General features: G+C 35.6%; 1 protein-coding gene across 8 annotated transcripts in view, besides 1 other annotated feature; it reads left to right on the top strand.

Moving 5' to 3' along the window:
* The window catches only part of CCSER1 (coiled-coil serine rich protein 1), a 1,477,902-nt gene that overhangs the window by 1,218,580 nt on the left and 234,981 nt on the right, over positions 1-24,341 (top strand). The window lies entirely within an intron of this gene.
* Positions 13,165-13,324: an enhancer, noted in NCBI's record as "active region_21725". NCBI's record gives its function as "activates an Ori minimal core promoter by ATAC-STARR-seq in GM12878 lymphoblastoid cells {active_cell/tissue: GM12878}" and the evidence as "EXISTENCE:reporter gene assay evidence [ECO:0000049][PMID:35858748]".

A 24,341-nucleotide genomic window follows, 5' to 3' on the forward strand; every position in this document is an offset into this window, starting at 1 on the left:
GCAATATGCATTTAAGATACTTGCATGATACTTGCATATCATACTGGGGCTTGACAGCTCTTTTTTTTTTTAAGACAGTCTCACTCTGTCACCAGGCTGGAGTGCAGTGGTGTGGTCTTGGCTCACTGCAACCTCCACGTCCCGGGTTCAATCCATTTTCCTGCCTCAGCCTCCTTGGGACTACAGGCGCTCACCACCACACCCAGAGAATTTTTGTATTTTTAGTAGAGACAGGGTTTCACCATGTTGGCCAGGATGGTCTCGACCTCTTGACCTTGTGACCCGCCTACCTCAGCCTCCCAAAGTGCTGGGATTACAGGTGTGAGCCACGGCGCCTGGTCTTATTTCTTTTTATCATTGGATGTATTATATTGTATGGATATACCACAGTTTGTTTATTCATTAACCTATTCAAGGGTATCTTGGATGGTTCCGAATTATGGCAATTGTGATTAAAACTGCGGTTAATACTCATGTGCAGGTTTTGATGTGGGCATACAACAATTTTCAACTCACTTAGGTAAATACTAAGGAGCACAATTGCTGGATCCTATGATAAGAGTGTGTTTAATTTTATAAAAAATTGCAAAACTGTCTTCCAAAGTGGCTGGGCTATTTTGCGTATCCACCAGCAATGAATGAGATCTCCTTTTGTTTCACATCTTCATCAGTATTTGATGTCAGTGTTTTGGATTTTCATCATTCTCACAGGTTTAAAGTGGTATCTGTTTGTTTTAATTTGAAATTCCCTAATAGCATACGATGTTGAGCATTTTTTCATGTGCTTATTTGCCATCTGTATATCTGTTTTAGTGAGGTGTCTATAGATAACTTTTGCCCATTTTAAATTATATTGTTTGTTTCTTATTTTTGAGTTATAAGATATTTTTGTATATTTTGGGTACCAGTCCATTATCAGATATGTGCTTTGAAAATATATTTTCCTAGTCTATAGTTTCTCCTTTCTTTCTCTTCACAGTGTCTTTTGCAGAGCAAAAGTTTTAGTTTTAATGAGCTTCAACTTATGAGTTTTTTTTTGTTTGTTTGTTTTATGCATCAGGCTTTAGTGTTGTATCTAAAAATTCATCACCAAACTCAAGGTCACCAAGATTTTCTCCTGTGGTATCATTTAGAAGTTTTATATCTTTGTGTTTACATTTAGATGTATGGTTCATTTTGAGTTAATTTTGTGAAAGGTATAACGTCTGGGTGTAGATTTATTTTTTGCATGTGGATTTTGAGTTTCAGCACCACTTGTGAAAAGACTATTATATTTCCATTTATTTGACTTTGTTCCTTTGTCAAACATCACTTGACTATATTTGCTATTTTGTTCCATTAATCTATTTGTCTTTTACTTCATCAACCTCACACTGTCTTGATTACTGTAAATTTATAGTGTATCTTGAAGTTTGGTAGTATCAGTCTTCCAACTTTTTTACTTCTTCAATATTGTGTTAAATATTATGAGTCTTTTGCTTTTTCTTATGAAATTTAGAACACATTATTATTTTTTTTTTGCATCCACAAAATGACTCACTGAGATTTCGGCTGGGATTGTGTTTAATGTATTGATCAAGTTGGGAAGAATTGAAATCTTGACAATGTTAAGTATTCTTATACATGTAGATAGAATATATTTGTATTTATTTAGATCTTCTTTGATTTTTTTCATCAGAATATTGTAGTTTTTCTCATACAGATTTTATACTTATTTTGATATATTTATATCTAAGTATTCAATTTTTGAGATGTACTAATTTAAATGGTATTATGTTTTCCATTTCAAATTCCAATTTTTCATGGCTAGTATTAAGAAAAAAATTGACTTTTGCTTATTAGTCTTATATCCTCCAATATTGCTGTAATCACTTCTTAGTGCCAGTAGTTTTTTTTTTGTCAATTCTCTGCAATTTTCTACATTAATAATCATGTCACCACCTTAAAAAGACAGTTTTATTTCTTCCTTCCCAATCTGTCTACTTTTTATTTCCTTTTTTGTTGTTCTTATTTCATTGGCTGGTACTCCCAGTATGATGTTGAGTAGAAGTGTAAGAACAGACTTCCTTGCCTTGTTCCTGATATTAGCAGGAAAAGCATATAGTTTTTCACTGTTAAGTATGATGTTAGCTGTAAGTGTTTATAGATTTTTTATCAAATTGAGAAAGTTCCTATTTAATCTTAGATTGCTGATGGTTTTACTTATGAATTATGAATGAGAATTGGTTTTTTTAGATGCTTTTGCTGCATCTATTAAAATAATAATATAATTTCTCTTATTTAGCCCGTTGATGTGAGGGATTATAGTAATTGATTTTTGAATATTGAATCAGCCTTGCACACCTGTCATAAATTCCATTTGATCATGGTGTATAATTCTTTATATACATTGTTGGATTTAATGTGCTTTCTTTTAGGATTTATGCATCTATGTTCCTGAGAGATATTGGTCTATAATGTTTTTGTCTTGTAACTGATTTGTCTGGTTCTGGATTAGGGTAATGATGGCCTAGAAGAATGAGTTAGGAAATATTCCCACTACTTCCATTTTTTGGAGGAAACTAGAGAATTGCTGTAATTTCATTTTTAAATTATTGGTAGAATTCATCTGAGCTTGGTGCTTTCATTTTGGAATGTTATTATTTACTGATCCAATTTTTTAAATAGATGTTTAGATTAGTTCTTCTGATGTGAGTTTTGGTAGATTGTGTGTCTTTCAAGGAATTGCTCCATTTCATCCAGGTTATCAAATGTGTGGGCACATAGTTGTTCACAATATTTTTTTATAATCCTTTTAACATCCAGTGGTTCAGTAATGATAGTTGCTTTTTTATTTCTCATCATAGCAATTTGGGTCTCTCATTATTTCTTCCTTAACCTGGCTAGAGGTTGAAACAGATTTTGATTTTGTTGATTTTTTAAAATTAATTAATTAATTTATTTATTTATTTTTGAGACGGAGTCTCACTCTGCCCCCCAGGCTGGAGTGCAGTGGTGAGATCTCGACTCACTGCAAGCTCCGCCTCCCGGGTTCACGCCATTCTTCTGCCTCAGCCTCCCAAGTAGGTGGGACTACAGGCACCGCCACCGTGCCCGGCTAACTTTCTGTATTTTTAGTAGAGACAGGGTTTCACCGTGTTAGCCAGGATGGTCTTTATCTCCTGACCTCGTGATCTGCCTGCCTCGGCCTCCCAAAGTGCTGGGATTACAGGCGTGAGACACGGCGCCCGGCCAATTTTTTTATGTTGATTCTCTTTTTTCAATTTATGTTTTTGACTAAGGGTTGGGTGTTTTTTTTACTGTTTGCTGTAGCTATAGGTGTCAGAGGTTAAATTTTTCCCTAATTTCCTTGGTTTTGTCTTCCCTGTTGGGTTTGAGTTACCTAAGAGACAAATTCATCTTTAAATAAGGTCTCAGTCATGTACTTCTTTCAGTTGTATTCTCCTGATGTAATGGTTAAGTTGTAGAAAGGCAAATGGTCTAAAGTCTTACATTAGGCCTCCTTCTGTTACTGAGCCTGTGCACCTTATAGAAGTCAATAACCCTTAAAGGGCTTCCAAGTTCTGTTTTGAAGTCTGGAGGGGGTTAACGTTGTATATTTCTCATTTCCCAGTTTGTTTACTTTATGGTAAAACCCCAGTAGGTAAGGCTGTGCTACAATAGTTTGTCTTGAGGTCAGGCCTTTCAAAATGGTTACTTTTTCTCTTCCCCTGCTGGAAGCAAGAGAGTTTTTCTTTTTTTTTTTCCTCTCAGGTTTTCACTGAGAGAACCCAACTGGGCTGTAGGAGGTACATTTCATGAAAGTTTGGGGGCCTCGTAAGATTGAGTTCCCCTAGAATTTTTTCCACACTGTGCCTTCAGCAATTTGTCAATTACAGTTTAGGGTTTCCTAACAGCATTGTTTCCCATGGAGGTTTCTGCTTCTAGGCTTCTGCTTCAGTAAATCGTGATTCTCTGTATCTTACCTGTGTGTCTCTCCATTTTAGGGAGCAATATATTGCCCTTTGACCTCACTTCTCTGATGTATCTAAGAAGAGTTATTGAGTTTCAGTTTGTTCTGTTTTTTCATTGTAGTGAGAATGGGAGTGATGATGCCCAAGGTTCTTACATGCCATATTGGAAACTGGAAGTCATGAATTAAACCTTTAATACATAAATTAACAGTATTATTTTTGTTTGTTTTGCTTCCCATGTAAACTTTTATTTAATCATTAAAAATGGCTTAACATTTCTGTATTAAATTGAATTTGCAAAACAAATTTAGATCTGAATCTACCAGTTTGCATTTTGTGTTAATTCTTCTGATATGTTTCTATTCTCTGAAACTTTAAGGAAAAATTAATTATATAAAGCATATACTTATAAATTGGTTATTATACTTACCTTAAAAACCTGCTTTTTGGCAAAAATAGAGCTCATTTAAATTATTTTATTGTTATTAAAAATAGTTTGAAGACTAACATATCAAAGTTCCTCTTTTTAGTGTCATTTAAATGCATTTTCTGGCACAAGCAGGAAAAGAACATTAACTGATATATAACAATAGGGAACAACTATCACCAGAGGAAAATGATGTATAGATGGCATTCACAGATATTTTTCTTATATTGAAGAGATTAATTTGTTTATTGTCACATTAACTACATGTTACTTTGAATACTTTTGCAGTTTAAAAATTTGACTGCAGAACGTTGATAGTTTAACATTGACAAATACATAAGAATCAGTCTGAGATTTAGGAAAGGTAAAAAATATTAAGAATATTAATAAATGTATAATTTTTGGCAAATTCTAGACTTAATATTACTGTCATTTTTATATTTTATGGTATTAAGCACACAGTAGGCTATATTTTTAATGATGTTACAATGGTTAATTTCAACAACATCAAAAAATTTACTTTGACAGGAAACAAAAAAATTTAGTCTTAAAACATATTATTATTTTATACGGGGAGTAAATTAAGCCCAATAAAAAATTTATTTATGAAATTAAAAGTAATAGATTTTTGAGGGGCTTTAATTTGGGTCTTACATGCATGTATTTATTTGTACTCTACCTTGTTTTAAATATGATTTAAAGCAGCTTACTATGGTACTGACTAGGTTAGATGGGTTTGAGATGAAGTTTCCTCTGTTTGTTTAATTTCATGTGCTGAAATGAAGAAGGGAAACTATATTATGGGGAGAATATTTCCTTCATGACACTATCTACACATATTACTTTATTATAAAATAAAGCTATTTTATAAATACACATCAATGTTGCACAATACTCAATTGTCTTTACATATTCTTTTACTTGTAAATACATAAGTAAAAAGTGTGACTGGAAGGTCACTAAATTGTAAGCTTAATTTGAATCCTTCAGAGATGAAATAATCCTAATTTCTTAATATTTATTGATAAAAAATGAGATTCTTAATCTTTGAGTTTCTTCTCTGGGTATCACTTTTTTATATGGAGATGAATACAGATTTCTTGTTTTGTTTAAAATTATTTTCAGTACTAATTATTGGTTTTCTAAAGCATGAAACAGATTCTGGTATACAAAAATACTTACTTATAAAATAAATTTTACAGTATACTGGGACGAGAGTTATGCCAACATTAAATCATGTTTTTATTAAATCATTTAAGAATATAAAATATGGGGAATATTTTTGCCCTGTGGATCATTTTAGATATGTTCTTATTTAAAACAGTTTTTCAGATGCTCTTAAGAATGAGAGAGAATAATAATAGGCAGAAAACTATTTTAAATTAATTTTTACATTAATGTAAATGTTATGATTTTTTTTTAATTAAAGAATGTCTTCTACCATTTCAATTTTAAAGGGAAAATATTCATTTGTCCTATTTTGTTTTTCAAGTTGCATTCCTTTGTGTTCTCCAATCTGAAGTTTCCTCTTTGGTGAACCCTCCAACATAGTCTACTGCAGTTATTAATTGTACATAATATAAATGATGACAACAGACTTCTGAGCGCTGAAATGCAATGAGAAACACAGAAGTACCAATGGTCAAAAATCAACCAAAGGGGCATTTGATAACATTTATATTGTAAATTGCTGAGAATTGATTGCAAGTGATAAAATAAAAAGAGGCTGAAAATAGAAAACTAAAAATCAACCAAAGGCAATTTGTATGATTCAATAATAGCTATATACCAATTTATATACCTGACTACTTTAGATTATTCTCTAAAGATTGTCAAAACTTTTAATTTAACAACATTGCTCATTGTATAATAGGCTTAGGAAAATTTATTTTATTTTAGTTTAGTTTAGTTTTTTGAAACAGGGTCTCACTCTGTCACCCAGGAGTGCAGTGGCGCGATCTCCGCTCGCTACAACCTCCACCTCCTAGGTTCAAGCAATTCTCCTGCCTCAGCCTCCCAAGTAGCTGGAACTACAGGCGTGTGCCACCATGCCCAGCTAAGTTTTTGTAATTTTAGTAGAGACAGCGTTTCACTGTGTTAGCCAGGATGGTCTATCTCCTGACTTCGTGATCTGCCCGCCTCAGCATCCCAAAGTGCTCAGATTACAGGCGTGAGCCACCGTGCCCGGCAGGAAGATTTATTTGAAAAAGCACACAGAATAATGGTTATACAGGGGTCATACAATTTTTCATATAAAGGTTAGAAATAAAAAGCATTCTTGCCTATACTGTATAAAACCTGATTTCTTAGACCAAATAATTTATGCTTACCGTTAAAAGTGACATATGTAATTATGTTATAAGGAATATAATGTGGAATGAAGTTTTAACCATTTTAGAGACAATCCACCTAAGCTAACAAAATATATTAAGAATCTGCCATGTGCCAAACACTCTTCTGGCCATTGGAGACACAGAAGTGAACAAGCATATGTCATCCCTGTACTCAGGACTGGTGTCTACTGGGAAGATGAGAGGGTAAACTATAAATGAACATAGTAATATACAATCAGGTAATATTCAGTGCAATGTTGAAAAAAATAGACAGTGTATGGGAAGAGGGTGAGAGAAAGCTGCATCAGATAGGGTGGCCAGGAAGTTCTTCCAACAGAGACAAGAATGGAGAGAAGGAATCGATGTGAAAACCTGGGGGAACTGTAATCCAGACAGCAGGACAGCAAATGCAAAGGACAATTTCAACATCTTGTAGCAGGATAAGCTGCAGACAAAACCTCTCAGACACTGAGTTGTAGAAGGAAGGGCTTTATTCAGCCAGGAGCGTCGGCAAGCTACTGCCTTAAAATCTGAGCTCCCCAAGTGCACAATTTCTGTCCCTTTTAAGGGCTCACAACACTAAAGATTTCACATGAAAGGGTCGTGATTGATTTGGGCAAGCAAGGGGTCCGTGACGGGCTGCATGCACCAGTGGTCAGAGAGAAACAGAACAGGGCAGGGAGTTTCACGATGTTCTTCTATACAATGTCTGTAATCTATGAATAACGTCGGTTTCTAAGTTATGAGTTGATTTTTAACTACTGGGTTTAGGCCAGGCAGGCCCAGGCCTGGTTTTGGGCGTGGTGCTGGGCTGCCTGTCTTTGGTTTTACTTCCTTGTTGTTTTTTCTTAAAACAGGTACTGAGTATACAACAATATAAAACAATATGAGAGGGTCTCTCTCTTTCCTCCTTTCCCCCCTTTGAGACTCTCACTTTTTATTAGTGGGAGTTCTCACTCTTATTTTTGCTACTTATGACTTCTTATGCAATAGATTGATAGTGATTTATATAGTATGCTTGTGCTGAAGCATTTTGGTGAACTAAGGTAGCGATGAAGTTTTTTTATCATTTGGAGAAATACAGGTATCAGACAAGGGAGCAGTAAGCAGGTTCCTATTACTATGATTACTTTTATTATAAGAGTTTTAAATCCTCCTATTGCTGGGAACCAATTTCCAAACATGGCTACAGGATTGCATCTGTGCCACACTTGCATGGGTACATGTGCCAGTTTTGTTATATCTTTAACTATATTTTCAACTACTTCCCCTCATCATCTATGTGTAGGCAACAATTAGTAAGGTTAATTTTTCACAAACTCCTCCTTCAGCTGTTAGCAAGTAGTAAGAGCTAGTCTATTTTGATAGATAGCATTTCTCATTAGAGTTTCTTGCTGGGCCAGAATAGTCAAGGCTTGACCAGTTTTATTAGCAATGATTTTTAAAACAGCTTGTAACCGTATGATTCAGTTGAGCATGTAGATGGGGGTTTGATATCCTCCTGAGCCATCTTGTGCCTAAGTGGCAGGTCTATAATATTGTATGATTTTTTCAGGGGACCATTTATCATCTTTCCAATCACTTACAGCTATGCTTCATTTTTCGTGGGAAGCATAGACTGGGAAGCCCAGAAGTTTACCTGTTTTTATCGGCAGTAAGAAGAAAGATGGCTTAATGGTGCCAATTATACAGCTACCTGTCCACTGATCAGGCAGATTAGCATAAGCTCTGTGTCCACATATCCAGTATAACCCTGTGGGGCCGTCCAGTCCTGGTGGAATTCTGGGTGGGCCCAAATAGTCTGCAACTTTGGAAATTTACTGAATGGATTTCTTTCTGTGTAATTGGAACTCCACCATGTAACTGTTTTTGTGGTACCATTATACAGCTTTTGCCTAAGACAACTAAACCGCCTTACAGGATGAGTGAATCCTTTTCCTTCTTTAGCTATGCAATACTGTCCAATAATTGAGACTTTTAGGACGAAAAATATGTCAGGGTGGTTCTTTTGGGCTGGGAATTCATCAGGAACTGGATCTGTAGGAACTAATTATTGGGCTTCCCATGGCCATTGATCTTCTATTACAGTTTTTCCACAAACATAACATGAAGTGACATTTAGAGACTGGGCTACATGCTCGGCTAATTGCAAAAACAAATTTCTGGTTTTTCCTAGAGTCTCTGGTACTGGCACATTTAGTTTATTACAGAAAGTCTGAAATACTGGTTCTGGAGAGCGTATTTGAACCTCCCATTTCATTAGGATGTTTACACTAGGATCTAGTCCTTTTCCATCAATGCCTAATGATACATATTTTTCTTTATTTTATTTTGGGTCTGAGGGGTTTGTGATTACTAATTTTAAAGGGTTGCAGCTCCCACTCATGCAGGAGGGGCTGCCTTTTCCTTTGCAGAGCCAAACAAGATCTTTTTTTAATCCTCTTTTCAAGTAGCCTAAATGACACAAGACCAGTATTGACACATCTCACATAAATATGATTTTTGACAGATATACTTTTTTTTTTTAACTGTTTAACTTTTTTTTAGTTTACAGAACGGCATCTTATTCCATGCTGCTTACTATCAATAGCAGCACAAGTGTCAAATTTTAAGGTTACATTTTTGGGGGCCCCTCTTTCTTCTGTTCTAGCTATTACCTTACTTGTGTCACCTAGAAAAGGACCAGTCCTTAATTTTATTTTAAAAACTGTGATCGTGGGAGGCTTAAAATGGGTCATAACACACATCAGGTTGGTTATTTCCTGGGCTACATACCTTGGATAGAATAGCATTATACAAACGAGTTTCTTTTAGAGTCCTGGTACACTTATAATAACCATAAAATAATAGGACTGTAGCAATTTTTTGTCCTACCTCAGTGACTTGATGTATATACTGGGAACAGTTCTCAGTCTGACGAAGGTTAGTTGACGTCCTTACTGAAAAAGTCCAAATTTTAAGGAAAATGAGTCCCACAATGAGTTTTCTGATGCATCGGCCATGCGTGGACCAGTCAGCTTCCGGGTGTGACTGGAGCAGGGCTTGTCATCTTCTTTAGAGTCACTTTGCAGGGGCTGGCGAAGCTGCTCCCATCCACGTACAGCTCCCAGTCTACTGATGTGTAAGGGTGGTCTCAGAGGTTGGGCCTACTAGAATAAACAGAGTCTAACACCTCTACACAGTTAATGTTTCACTGGGCTCCCTGATACCAGGAGTAAGGTGGTGGGGTTAGGGTGTTGCAAACTTCAATGGTTATGTGGGGATTTTTGCAGAGCAAGCTTTGGTATCTAGTTAGTCTAACATTCATTGGCTAATGGTGTCCTTTGGTATTTATTAAAATCACCACAGCATGGGGACACTTTATGTTTAGGTTTTGCCCAAGAGTTAGCTTATCTGTTTCTTGTGCTAACAGGTCTGTTGCTACCAGGGCCCTTGGACATGGGGGCCAGTCTTTGGAAACCCCTTCTAGTTGTTTTGAGAGATAGGCCACTGGCCTTGGCCAGGGCCCTACAGTCTGGGTTAAAACTCCAACTGCCATTTTTTCTCTTTCTGACACATAGAGTGTAAAGAGTTTTGTCAGGTCAGGTAGCCTCAGGGCTGGGGCCGACATGCGTTTTTCTTTTTAACTTACGAAAAGCTCGTTGCTGTTGGTTGTAATAGATGTAGTTTATCTAATTTACATTTTTATTGACTGTCATCTACCAAAATATTGACTTAAATCTTACAACTATTTGATTTCAAGCTTTAAATTGATCTGGTATTCCTTGTGGGGCTCCAATTGCATCTAAATAGATGTGAGAGTTGAAAGACCTATAAGGGGCTTCTCTTGCTTTACGATGTCTTATTATTATTTTTTTTCCTCTGGCTGATGAAATGCCAGGGTGAAATGGATAGCCAAATGGACTAAAGCACAAGTGCCACTCTAGTTATTTGGCAGAGTGCCCAGTAAAAGTCCACCACAATACCACCACAAATCCACTCGGGGATGAACAAGGGCTGACTGATTGATAAGCTCTTGAAAATTCCTAAGATCACTGCATCCCTTCAGGTCTCCAAGGAATGCTAAGTCTCCTCCCCTGCCATGAGAGACAAGAAGTGAACTTAGTGTTGGGAGACGGAAGCTGGATGGCCCTCGGGGATGACCTGCAGGGACTTCAGGATACAGCAGAGAGAGCTTGGCATGACTTATTACTCCAGGCTGTAGAATCCTGGAAAACAGCTACCATACAGCCCACGCCTGGTCGACTGAAGGACCACCTTAGTGGAAGGGGGACAATCAGGGTCTCTAACCTGCCAACCTGCCATGTGCACAAGCATAACAGTTGCTTTGTTTAACGTGCGGATGGAATATTTGATCCATTTCATCCAGGCATTTGTATCTTGGTATGCTGTCTTAACTGCCGAAGTTTGTTTTAAGTCTTTAACTTTCTTGATCCTCTAGTAAAATGAATGTTTCCTTTAGCACCTATTTTTATTAGTTTTTAGACCAAAGAAAGCTAAACACCATTTTATATTTAATAATGCTTCTTGTGTGATTTTTATGCCAGATAAGTTAAATTTTACCTTTATATTAGTGTGTTATTAATGTTAAACTTAATTTTAATAAAGCCTTGTAGACATATTTATCCAATTTTTCATGTTTGACCATAAGGTAAGATTTTATAGACTCTTTAATCTTTTATAATTTTTGTTAAAGAGCAGGTTGATGCTTTAAGAAAAACTTGTTGCATTTTTACTTTAATGTCCAGTTCACAGAAAAACTGGATGATATCTTTTTAACTTTAGCTAATATGTTTACACACAGAATTTTCTTTATAATTAACATTTTAAAGCTTGCTTAAACTTTTAAAACAATAATTTTTTTAACCTTTTAATGTAGGTAAAAATCTACATTATTATGCCCCTTTATAATCTTTTTACCAAAGGTATATTTTACTTTTCTTATACACTTCGCACATAAACTGTTTTTTTTAATGGTACTCAGGAGGCCTTATTACTTTTAAATTATACAACATTTTTTGCATACAATTTTTATAACATTTTTTCTTTCATGACTTTCGCCGACAATTTTTCAACATGTCTCAACTTTCTGACTTATTACAAACATTTTTTTTTTCTTTAAACAACCAGTTAATTTATTTCAGGACAAGAATTTACCATATAACACTCTTTTTACCTAAATTCTGCCTGCCCCCCCCCCCTTTTTTTTTTTTTTTTGAAGATAACCATTCCTTTTTTTAAAGCAAACTTTCTTTATGTCTTTGGGACTAAGGCCACAAGATTAGAAGTTACCATAATACATGTTACACTGTTAACTTTTAGCAAACTTCACTTTTGTTGAAAACCTTGTAAGTTTGGGATTTCAATTATCCTTTGCTATTAATAAGACCTTGTTTAGTCTAAATTAACTTACAATTGGTTTAGATGGCCTTTTTTTCTCTCTGCTGGTCTTTCCTTTTCTCTCTGCTGCCTCTGCCAGCTGCTTATACTGCTGTTCTTTTAACTACTGTGGGGAGGAAAGGGGGTCTAAAACCAGCTGTTACTGTCTGTGTACGGAAACTGGTCTGGGTGCTTTGGCTTACAGGTTACCTTGTGCCATACCTTTGAAACAAGGGACCTGTCCAGGCTTCCTCAATTCTTTCTTGAATTTTTTTTTTTTTAACATAGTTCCCAGTGGGGTGGGCTTACTTTGTGCCTGACCCACGTTGTTTTTTTTTTTTTTTTCCCGAGACAAAATACCACACTCACACCACACATACCACAAGACAAAGAACAGGTAAAGAGGGCACACACACACTTCTACCGTTTATACCAAACCAAAATCATGAAATTCAAAATCCAAGTATCAAAAAATTCCAGCCAAGTCAAAACCAAAACCAAAGTATCCAGCAATTCAAGTCAAGTCAAAACCAGAACAAGAGTGCCAATGCAGGCACGCTGTGGGTGATCAGGCCACGCTTCCACTCAGATGGAGTGAGGCAAGTTCCAAAGACTAGTCTTACCAAGTTTCAGATGTCCGGACTCCAAGTGCCAGTTCCTTCCTGGTGTTCAGCCACTGTGTTAATCCTCCTCGGGGGCCTGCTATGTGCGCTGCTCTGGCGAGGTGTTCCACTGGGGCAGTTTCCTACCCGGGAGCGCTCTTTGGATCACGTCACTCAGGCTGGCTGGAGTCCCCCTCAGGGATGCTCCACAGGGCAGGCTTAAGTCACCTAAGGGGCTGCCTCAGCTATCCATCAGTCACCTCGCTTCCCAGTCAGGGAACCAAGAAATGTAGCAGGACGAGCCGCAGACAAAACCTCTCAGACACCGAGTTGTAGAAGGAAGGGCTTTATTCAGCTGGGAGCATCGGCAAGCTACTGCCTTAAAATCCGAGTTCCCCAAATGCACAATTTCTGTCCCTTTTAAGGGCTCACAACACTAAAGATTTCACATGAAAGGGTCGTGATTGATTTGAGCAAGCAGGTGGTATGTGACAGGGGCTGCATGCACCAGTGGTCAGAGAGATACAGAACAGGGCAGGGAGTTTCACAATGCTCTACTATACAATGTCTGTAATCTATGAATAACATTGGTTTCTAAGTTATGAGTTGATTTTTAACTACTGGGTTTAGGCCAGGCAGGCCCAGGCCTGGTTTCAGGCCTGGCGCCAGGCTGCCTGTCTTTGGTTTTACTTCCTTGTTGTTTTTCCTTAAAACAGGTACTGAGTATAAAGCAACGTAAAACAATATGAGAGGGTCTCTCTCTTACCTCAATCTCATGTGGAAAACAGTGACTGATAAACTTATGATGGCAAAAGCTGCTACCTATTAAAATTATATGAACATAATGTTATTTTAGAGTAGTTTAATTTTCATTTTTAGGTAAATTCAAACTAGCTTGTGAGGTATTGCTTCTTATTAACAGAAGATAACAACAATATCTCAAGCGATTAGTATCTCAGATCTCATAATTTGGTTGATAAAGGGGTTTCAGGAGAGAAAAGGATATTGAAAAAGGGCTAAGCAATCTTGCGTTGCTGTAGTGAAACAAAGGCAAACATAATTTTGATTTTTTTTAAGAAAATTACATGATGCTGAGTATTGGTGCATAATTTCACGTCCAGCAGTAATCGTTAACAAGAGCAGTTGTCATAGGAATACCAGCAGTGGTGTGGCAGAGGTGGTGGTGGTAATTTTAGTGCAGATAGAAAGCCTTAAAGGAACACCATCTATGTGACAGCCACAGTGCCAAGTGTGACTTGCATTATCTCTTTTATTTTGGCAAACAGATATTAAGGTGAGGGTCAATATTATCCCTGCAAGGTTAGGTTTACACAATTATAAAATTTCAAAGCTGAGATTCAAACTCAGTTGCGTCTCATCCCACAATCCAAGCTATTTTTAAGGGGGGAAATAACATTCATTATGATTAATGGTAGTGTGGCACCATATAGTTCAAAATTTGAAATTGAAAGAGTATTTAGAAATCCTGAGTTTTAGGGTTGACTCTGCTATGCTATAAAATTGATGTGTGGGAAAGATACTTCTGTTCCCCGAGTCTGCAAATGAGCATACCAATGCCATTTTTCTTCCAGATTTGTTCTGGTAAACACATGATTGCATAAAAATAATATGAAAAAAAGATCTACTAAAAATTGATTTAAACTGTGTAGACATTAAGAGAGCTCTTATAAAATGCTATTCACTACATTATGAACTGGGAATAAAACTAATAGTTAAGACACAAACCTTCAAATGTCAAAAAAAAATTGGGGTCCATACAACTGTACAAGAAAAAATCTGAGTACATTATGCATCCATTCATGTTTAATGATTGTAGTAGACATCTGTAATTTTTACCCATTAAGCCAGCCTCCTAGTAAGAGACCCATCTCTTCCCCAATCCCAGATCCCTGTGTTTTGGATAGGATGCCTTCCATCCTTTGTGTCCAAGGATAGACCCTATAGCTCGAGCTCAGCCAACAAGACAGCCATAACCACAGTAACTGATGTAGAAGAAGGTTTATGGCACAAGCCTAGGTGAAAAAACAGAGAGAGAGAGAAAGAGAGAGAAAGGATGCTACATTTGACACATTTTTTCCAACTTTTCTTCTTTATTGGATGTCTCATTTATATGAGCCAGCAAATTCCTGTCTATTGAAAGCTAGGTTGCACTGGTTTTCTCTTACCTGTAGTTAAGAATGCAAATCAGTAATAGGATGGAGGAGGTTATAAATGAGCCAGGATTTTGAATATGCCAGGAAGACTGATTTAGACAGTGTAGTTATGTGAACTCCTTTGAGATAAAAAGCTGAGCTTGGAGTCAATGAAATTCTTCAGCTTTCATAAGATGGTAGGTATTTAAATAAGGTCTTGAAGAGTTAAATCTAAATAGATGAAACCAAAGTTATCACAGAGGGGGAGGAAATGGCCTTTTTTTTAGTCTAGCAGATGCTAGACCAGAAATAAATATTTCACATATATGTTTTATTAGCTAAAGGATGTGTTTTGTTATTATTATTCTTGGTCATTAATTTCACAGAAACATATATTAAGGTATTCATTAAATCTCAAAGGTTTAAGGAATTTTGGTTCCTTTTATGGTCCAGCACAAATTATGAAGAAAGGTGACATGATGTGAATTTTACTTTAGGAAGAAAATACCAACAGCAGAAAGATGGACTGGAGGCATGAGAAAGCAGAGAAAAAGAATCAGCTGGAAGCTTTTAAATTTAGTTAACTTAAATTTTTTTTGGACACAGAAAGACTTTCTGAAGTAGGAGATGATTAGAGTCTTAACTAATGTAATAATAATGGGAATGGATGAAAGTAAAACAATATGTGACAGGCATTGTGGAGGTAGAATAGACAGGATGTGAGAAATAAAAAGCTGTAAGTTATAATGGAGATGAAGTAGTCAATATGTTTCCATTGGGATTTCAAAGAGTGGAGGGAGAGACTTATTAACAGAGACTGCAAGTAGAGAATAATCATTATATTAGCAAGTAAGAGCGAAATCTATGAAGACACTAATTAATTTAGTTTGAAGACATGTCTTTGAGATACGGAAGTGTTTTTGCTATGAAGACCATTAGATATTTATGCATTAGTTCAAAAAATATGTATTGAACACCTAACTATGGCCTAACTACTGTACTAGACAACTTTCCTGCTTTTGTGGACCCTATATTGTAAAAGTTGGCTGCAATTAAATGAATGTATACTCTATATGAGGTGGTACAAAAATATACAAAGAAAAATAAAATGGGGAGGGTATTTGGCGCTATTTTACAATCTTGGTTACAAAAAACCTCTCTGAGCAGATATCTGAAGAAACTGAGGGAGAAAACCATAAGGATATGTGGGCAGGTAAAAGAAAGCAATGAAGGCCCTGCACGGAAGGGACATATTTGAGAGACTGCAAGGGGTCAAGTGTGGCTGCAGAGAAGGAATCTAGGGAAGATAAGGTCAGAGAGATAGAATGCCTTGAAAATTCTAGACTGGTGGCCCAGAAAACGATCTTGAGATTATGGCAAAGATTGTAGTTGTTTTCCAGAAACAATTCTTCCCCTTTTTGGTAGTAGTAGATATTTTAGCTGAGCCTGTAGTGTCTGAGAGTGAAGATTACCTTGAAGCCATGTGGCCATGTGAGTAGGAGTATGGGGCTGAAAGCTCACTTAAGTTATTGATGGTCTGTTTCATTTACCCTTCTATTCCTTGCTCTTTCCTCACACACATACACACACACAATGTAGGATCTCTGAGTCCAGATATTGGAAGACTTTTTTTGAGCACAGCCACCTTACTAGTTTATATATGTATAAGAAAGAAACATATTTTATTTAAAGTCCAAAATATTTTGCTTTTTATATTACCCTTTCTACTACTCACAGTTTAATGCTAATTAATGCAGGAAGTATGGTTGTAAGGCTTGTAGGGGCTAAGGCTATCTGAGTTTATGTGATTGCTCACAGAGAGCATATAGATTGAGATGGCATCTAGAGTGGAAACTTTACAAGTATGCAGAGCCGTGAATACATTTTCCTCATCTTCCTCCTTTTTTTGTTTTTTCTAAGTAGGTAAAATCTGATTCTCTAAGACCTAGCTCAAATATAACTGTCTTTGTGAAACTACTAGTAATAAAAGCTCATCCTGTTTCTCTTCAAAAAGCAGAATTACTTGCTTTGCCATGTTCTCCCTCTGCTCTACCTCTTACTATTTTGTCTCATGTTGTATTTATGTACATGTACCACTCCTTGAATACAGGGTGAACTCCTGAAAAAGCCTGTTACCCTTAACATTTTAAACAAACAATCCAAGCTCAGTTTCAGACCCTCATTGTATCCATCCTGGATTGCTGGCTTAGGCTCCCAAGGGATCTTCATTTGCCTCATTTTCTTTTTCTTTTTTGTCCACAAGAAACTCTCTTACAAATTTTCATTCGTGAGTCATTTCCTCAAAAAACAAAAAACAAAAACAAAACAAACAAAGAAACAAAAAAACAGGGTAGATAAAATACTGTCATCTGGACCCCATATTTCTAGCGTAATGCTTTTGAGTTACAAGTCTATAAAATCATTGAAGAAAAGACCTATAGTTTACGTCTAGCAGATTAATTCATAATAAATTTTTGTTAAATTGAATTGGAAGTAGAAGTAATCTAGATTGATTGAAGCATAGGATGGAGATATTTTGTGTGTGTGTGTGTGTGTGTGTGTGTGTGTGTGAGACAAAAATACAGGGAAAAGAAGACATAAAATATGAAGATGCCAACAACAGCTAAGGAAAAAACTGTTGAAACAGCTGATTCAGTAACTAAACTGGCTTGTCAAGGAATAACTGAAACACAAGGAGAAGGCAGCTGTTTCTACTGTAGTGTCCTCTGTTTTCTCCCCTTTTCCTTCTGTCTGTCTCTAATGAAGTAAAGCTACATAAATATGGCACATAGCAGTGTATGTCAAATAGTGCTCAATAAAATATCTCCAGTTAGAGCTTTTGGTGAACAAGTCTTGAAAGATATTTGCATCATTTTCTTTGATTAAAGAGTCAGTGATTTTATTGAACACATTAATTTAGATATGTGTACCTATTCTTTGATCAAGATCTTATTACTATATTTATTTCTGTATCAGGAGTACTTTTTCAGTTCAGAAACAACCCTTTTTCATTTTCAATTTAGGGAACATTACTTTTAGTTTGAGGTTTATATGACTTTGGATGAAGACAGTGCTGTCACAAATGAGACTCTAACTGTAGCCCATGGATTTGGATCTTTAGTCTATTGTATTGATTATACTTTCCAGTCTCCTTGATGTCTCAGCACATTTTGGTAAAGTATTGACATAATTTAACTCCATGGATTCCAGGATACACATGACCTTTTCAGAAAGTATACATTATTGTAAGAATTTACAAGAACTGAATAATTCTGCAGAAATTATGAATGTTATAGTCAATGGCAAAACAGCTATTAGTATTAAGTCTTTAAATAATTATACTTTGATTTATTGTTTGATTATATGTTCAACTTTGTTTTAAATAGCATAGTGCAGTAGCTCCTTGTCTTCAGTTCAAAATGCAAAGTTACTCTAATTTTTTTGAGGTACAAAAACTCTTCTATAAATATATAAAATTAGGCCTAGAAAAGACTAATTTTCATGATGGGAAATACACACTAGATTTTTAAATTTTAGTACTTTACATAAAAATATTGGTGTGGTACTATTTAATTACATCATAATTTAGTAGTTAAAAGAATTCTTCTCAATATCTGGTTATTGCTCGATTTATTAGCACATGAGCGTTTCTGAGATTGGCATTCAGAGAGATTTCCCATAATAAATGTTACTAGTTATCCAACAAGAAAAGAACATTAATGATTTCACCTAACATGCTCTCAACTGTATGATATTATATGAAGAGTTAATTCTCATATTTAGTCTAGAAAGATTTTTAACATGAGTTACTGAGTTAATATCTTTAAAATTTTATTAAGTCTTTCTCTTTCTGATACAGAAGATCCATAATTCAGGTTATTAATCTCTGGTTACCTGTCCTTTGTGGAAAGATTAATTATTTTCTATTATTCATTGCATTTCCACCAAATTTTGGAGATATTTATCATAAAGTTGTGGATCTGAGCTAAGTTTAAAGACATCAAATAGTAAGTTTTAATTTTTCCAGCTATTACTATTAATTCTAAGTTTTTTTTCTCTGATATGTCTTCTTTGATGTTTCTTAAAAATCAAGATTTATAAAGAGATAGAGAAGGCCATTAGTATATCTCTCAATGTCACAAAATTAACCTAGCCACTGTAAAGTTAACCTGTATCCACAATATAAGTGACAAATGGCAGATAATATCTTTAGGAAAAGTATTAAATAGTGCACACTACTTCCATCAAAGTATAGTGTTCGAGGCAAGTTTAGGTAATGGTGCATTTCTAATAAACAGTCTTTAAAAGATATTAGCATTTCTGTTATTTATGAGAGGCTTTCAGTGTATTTTTCACATATGTATTATTAGGGCAGTGTAGAAATATTATTGTGATGTATTAATGGGCTGACCTGAGGTAAACAATAACTACATCCATGCGTGCATCATACATGCATACAAACTTACTCATTTTCTTTTTAAGCAGACTAGTAGTTAAGTTCCAAGAGAGAAAGGATTCTATATCATGAAATGCCCTGTACGTTTTTGATTCTCTATCTGGAATGCCAACTTGAAATATTACTTTCAATAACACATTACATTTTGTATTTTTTAGAGCATAATGTGCAAAGTAGATGATATTATATTTTAAATTAAACAAAATTAGAGAGGATCTAGAGAAACCAATGAAGTAATTAGTGTGTTTTGTTTCAGTGGTACAGAATCAGACTCTTTATAGCTGAACTCATAATGTGTACATTTATTAAACAAATTGCCAATTTAGTAATTTATAAAGGAATATTAATTTGATAAAATATTTTTTAAAACAATTAAATTATTTTTTCCTTATTTAATTCATCTGGAAAACATTTAGGGAGTCAATACTAATTGTCAGTCACTTTGCATAGGGCCACTTTGTGACAGGGATGAAGTGGCGTGGTCAGAGGGAGATCTGCATGAACCTAAGCCTACAACCAATAAAGGGAGTTAATGTTTTGAATAGGTAGGTCCATGTTTTGGACATGAATGCATTATCCAGTGTGGAGCGCAGTGCCTAGCCCATGAGAAGTTCCCTATGGCTTTGTCTCTGGTATCAAAGATTTATGTAAAATTAGAGTACAATAAATCTTTATGTATGCATCACCTATCTCAACAGTTAACAATTCATAGCCAATAATATTTCTTCTGAACTCTCACCTTCTTTGGGGGGTAGGGGTGAGATGGAGTTTTGCTCTTGTTGCCCAGGCTGGAATGCAATGGCACGATCTTGGCTCACTGCAACCTCCGCCTCCCAGGTTCAAGTGAGTCTCCTGACTCAGCTTCCTGAGTAGCTGGGATTACAGGCGCACCACCTCCACGCCCAGCTAATTTTTTGTATTTTTAGTAGAAATTGGGTTTCACTATGTTAGCCAGGCTGGTCTCGAACTCCTGACTTCAGGTGGTCCATCCGCCTCGGCCTCCCAAAGTGCTGGGATTACAGGCGTGAGCCACTGTGCCTGGACCTCTCACCTATTCTTCCTGCTAGGACTTTGTCATATTTTTTGAGTGGGCTTTGGAAACAAATCCTGGCATTGTACCATTTATCTGTAAATATTTTACTGTGAATCTCTAAACAAAAATCACAATACTATTATCACACAAAAATAGTCATAATTTTTAATATCATCAAATATTCCATCAGGATTCATATTTCTCAAATATTCTTTTAAGAGTAAGTTTGACTCAGAGTCCATTTAAATTAGTTTATATGTCTCTTAATTCTCTTTCAGTAGATTGTCCTGTGTCTCCTGATTCTTGACCTTTTGAGTAAACAGAGCTAGCATGCTACAGCATAAGTTCATACTGATCCATTCAATTCAAATTTAGAATTACAGGACTTACACATAATCTTATTGAACTTGCATTTGCATGTCCTTTCTCTCATGCTGGTAATCCTGGTTGTTAGTAACACTATACCATTTGCTTTATCCCACACTTTGTAATAATGCAGTTTCACTATACATCATCAACACCACAATAAGCAATATATATTTCTTCCTGGCAATGGGTTTGCACACAATGAACAGTATAATTACCAAATATAGTTTGTAAATTTTGTTTGCTGTTGTACTTTTTTTGAAATTGAAAATCACATATTAATTCAACAGGATAATTAGCAGCAATCAAAAATTTTTAAAAAGTCAAAATATTAAGAGCTGAGCACAGTGGCTCTTGCCTATAATCCTAGCATTTTGGGAGGCTGAGGTGGGTGGATTGCTTGAATTCAGGAGTTTGAGACCATCCTGGGCAACATGGTGAAACACCATCTCTCCAAAAAAAAAAAAAAAAAAAAGAGAAAAAAATGCAAAGTTCGCTTGTTATGGTGGATTGAACCTGTAGTCGAAGCTACTTGGGGGGCTGAGGTGGGAGGATCACCTGAGCCCAGGAGGTGGAGGTTGCAGTGAGCCAAGATTGCACCGCTGCACTCCAGCATAGGTGACAGAGTGAGATCCTGTCTCCAAAAAAAAAAAAAAAAAAAAAGTTAAAATATTAAATATACATATTAATTGAATTCATGGTTGTAAGGATGAGATCCATGGAAGTTTCCTGGGAGGAAGGGCTTTCTTGATTTCTTTCTTTTTTTTTTTTTTAACACACAGATGTTCTGACCATGGAACTGGAGCATAGGCAATTCTTGAGATAGTTCTTTATCTTTATCTCTAGGTCTTTTCTGGACTCTCTGGAATTCTCTTTTTATGTTTGCCCTCTTTGCTCTTTACCAGTAGGCATGCCTAGTCATAGTTTCTATCCTTTTGTAATCTTGTCTCATACAAAGAACATCATGTCCACTCTCTACACATTACTATATCATGGATTTTCTTCTTCACCTTCCACTATTCAAGACTTTCCTCTCTCAATACTACCTGATTCTCATCTTCTGGTTCTTGGCTTTTTCATGTGATGAATATCCCTTTGATCACATGCCAACCAGCCATCCCATCTGTTTTTTGGTGGAATATCACCTGGAATTATTCCTTACATAGTTTTTCTGATTATTTTATGAGTAGCTCTGTGTATGTCAGTCATTCTCAAGAAATATCTGGCAAGTTTATTATACTTTCAGGAAATGTTTTGAATAATAAATGTGTCTTACTTTTTGAGTGGGCTTGGATAGCATTTATTCTTAGTCTCTGTTATTACATAAAATATATGGGAATAAATGTATACAATTTTCCTATGTGGATATTTGGTAAAAATATAATGATAGTATTTTTCCATGGGTGGATGAATTTTAAAGAAATAATTTCTTAGCTTGCATGAAGTATTTTTTTTTTATTTCTGCATTTCCCTTCTATTTTCTCCCTAGGATGTCAGAAGAGATAACTAAAACTTTTATGATAACCATGTGGTCAGATCCATAACTTACACTGAAGTCTGTTCTTGTTCAACAGAAGCTAATATTAAATTCAATGTTCTCAAATATTTACTCACAGTAATATGCTCCATTTGGTCTATTCTGTGATTTTTTGGCTCCCACTTAATAATAGTTATATGCCCTTTAGCAAATATAACAGCAGGAAGACCATAATGTTCAAAACAACAGACTTGTTAAATGTGTAGCATATTTTTTCTTTCTTATTTGCCTTTACCAGCTGAATATTGTTTCTGTAATTCTTGGCAGAATTATGCATTTTTCTACTACTTAAAAGCATACATTTTAGTTGTTTCTCTTCTTCTAAAAACATATAAGAGATATGTTTTATGATAAATATTTTATCATGTTTTTCTATACTTTTATATTTCTTTGAGGGAGCTTATTTTAGCTCCTCTGTTGTCTCCTGGATTCATAATTGCCATACAATTTTATGGATCAAACATTTATAATTAACACATTTTAGTTTGGTAGCAATTTCATTTACTTTAATCAGTCTTTTATACTGGAAAAAATAACTATAAAGTTCACAAAATATTTCTCTGCATTACTATAAAGTTTACAAAAATTTCCCTGTAAATCAGTTTCTATATTTTCAGAACTAACAATGATTTTATTCTATATAAGTTGCCAACATAATACAAATATGGAATTGCCTAATTCTTGAAATGAAAAGGAAGCATGAACAGTTACTATTGATGAGGAGACATCTCAATCCTGCTATGGTAGGAAAACACAGAATCCTTCTGTGGTAGATTTCTTTAGTTATTCCCAACAGTCCTTATCTTTTCTTGTAAGGGTTTTCACACTCATCATGAAGTGACTTCCATGTGTTCTGTAGGCAGAGCTTTTATCCCTGTTCTTTTGATTTTTGGCTTTGGCTCTGTAACCCAGTTTGGACAATGGAATGTGAATGGATATGATTTATGTTACAGCTCAGCAGAGGAGTTAATGGGCATTGCTAGGTTGTTTCAGTACTTTTGTTCTTTCCCTCTGCTTTGACCATGGACTACCCAAAGGGGATTGCTCCTTCAGCCTCGGCGATGAAACAAGGCAACATGTAGAACAGAGATCCAGCAGATGACTTCCGTTTCTAACACATAATATCAGATAAATATTTGTTTTTGTAAGCTATTGAGATGTTGGGGTGGTTTTTCACTTCAGGAAAGCTAAGTAATATAATTCTCATTTTTGCAATTTGCAGGAATTTTTGAGCAATTCTTGTTATCTTTGTCTCCAGAATTATAGTTCCAGATTTTAAGATTTTTCAAGCTCTTTACATCTCACTTTACTATATGTTTTCCACAAAGTAGTCGTTTTCATAAATGTTTTGAGAGTTAATGATTTAATGAATAAATAGAAGATTGACTATCAATTAGACAAACCCTTCAAATACATTAACAAGGTCCCAGGTCCAAATTAATCTGTAGCTTTTTTTTTTTTTTTTTTTTTTTTTTTTGACAGTCTCTCACTCTGTCACCAGGCTGGAGTGCAGTGGCACGATCTTGGCTCACTGCAACCTCTGCCTCCTGTGTTCAAGTGATTCTCCTGCCTCAGCCTCCCAAGTAGCTGGGACTTTGGGAGCACGCCCACCACGCCTAGCTAATTTTTTTTTTTTTGTATTTTTTTTTAGGAGAGACGGGGTTTCACCATGTTGGCCAGGATGGTCTTGACCTCTTGACCTCATGATCCTCCCACCCCAGCCTCTCAAAGTGCTGGGATTATAGGCATGAGCCACTGTGCCCAGCCAGTCAGTAGCTTTTGAATTTTTGATTACTGAACCCTTACTTCTAAACTATATGATACTTATTGTGGTTTCTTAAAATTGATACTAGTCTATTTAACCATGTAGACCTTGTGCTCAATCAATACCTGCTAACAAGTCTATTTAATTTGGGGATATAAGACTTTAAATATCCAAGTTAGTTCTGCTGCAGAGTTAAGTCTACACTTATAAAGAAAGACTGGGAAAAAATTGTCTCAGTTATTGAATGTTTTATTAAATAACATTTGATAGACACATAATACACAAATTGACAATATTCAAGGAACTATCATGAAATAAAACTCATGCTTTACTGGAT

Source organism: Homo sapiens, chromosome 4 (genome assembly GCF_000001405.40).
Source record: "Homo sapiens chromosome 4, GRCh38.p14 Primary Assembly".
NCBI classification, from domain to species: Eukaryota; Metazoa; Chordata; class Mammalia; order Primates; family Hominidae; genus Homo; species Homo sapiens.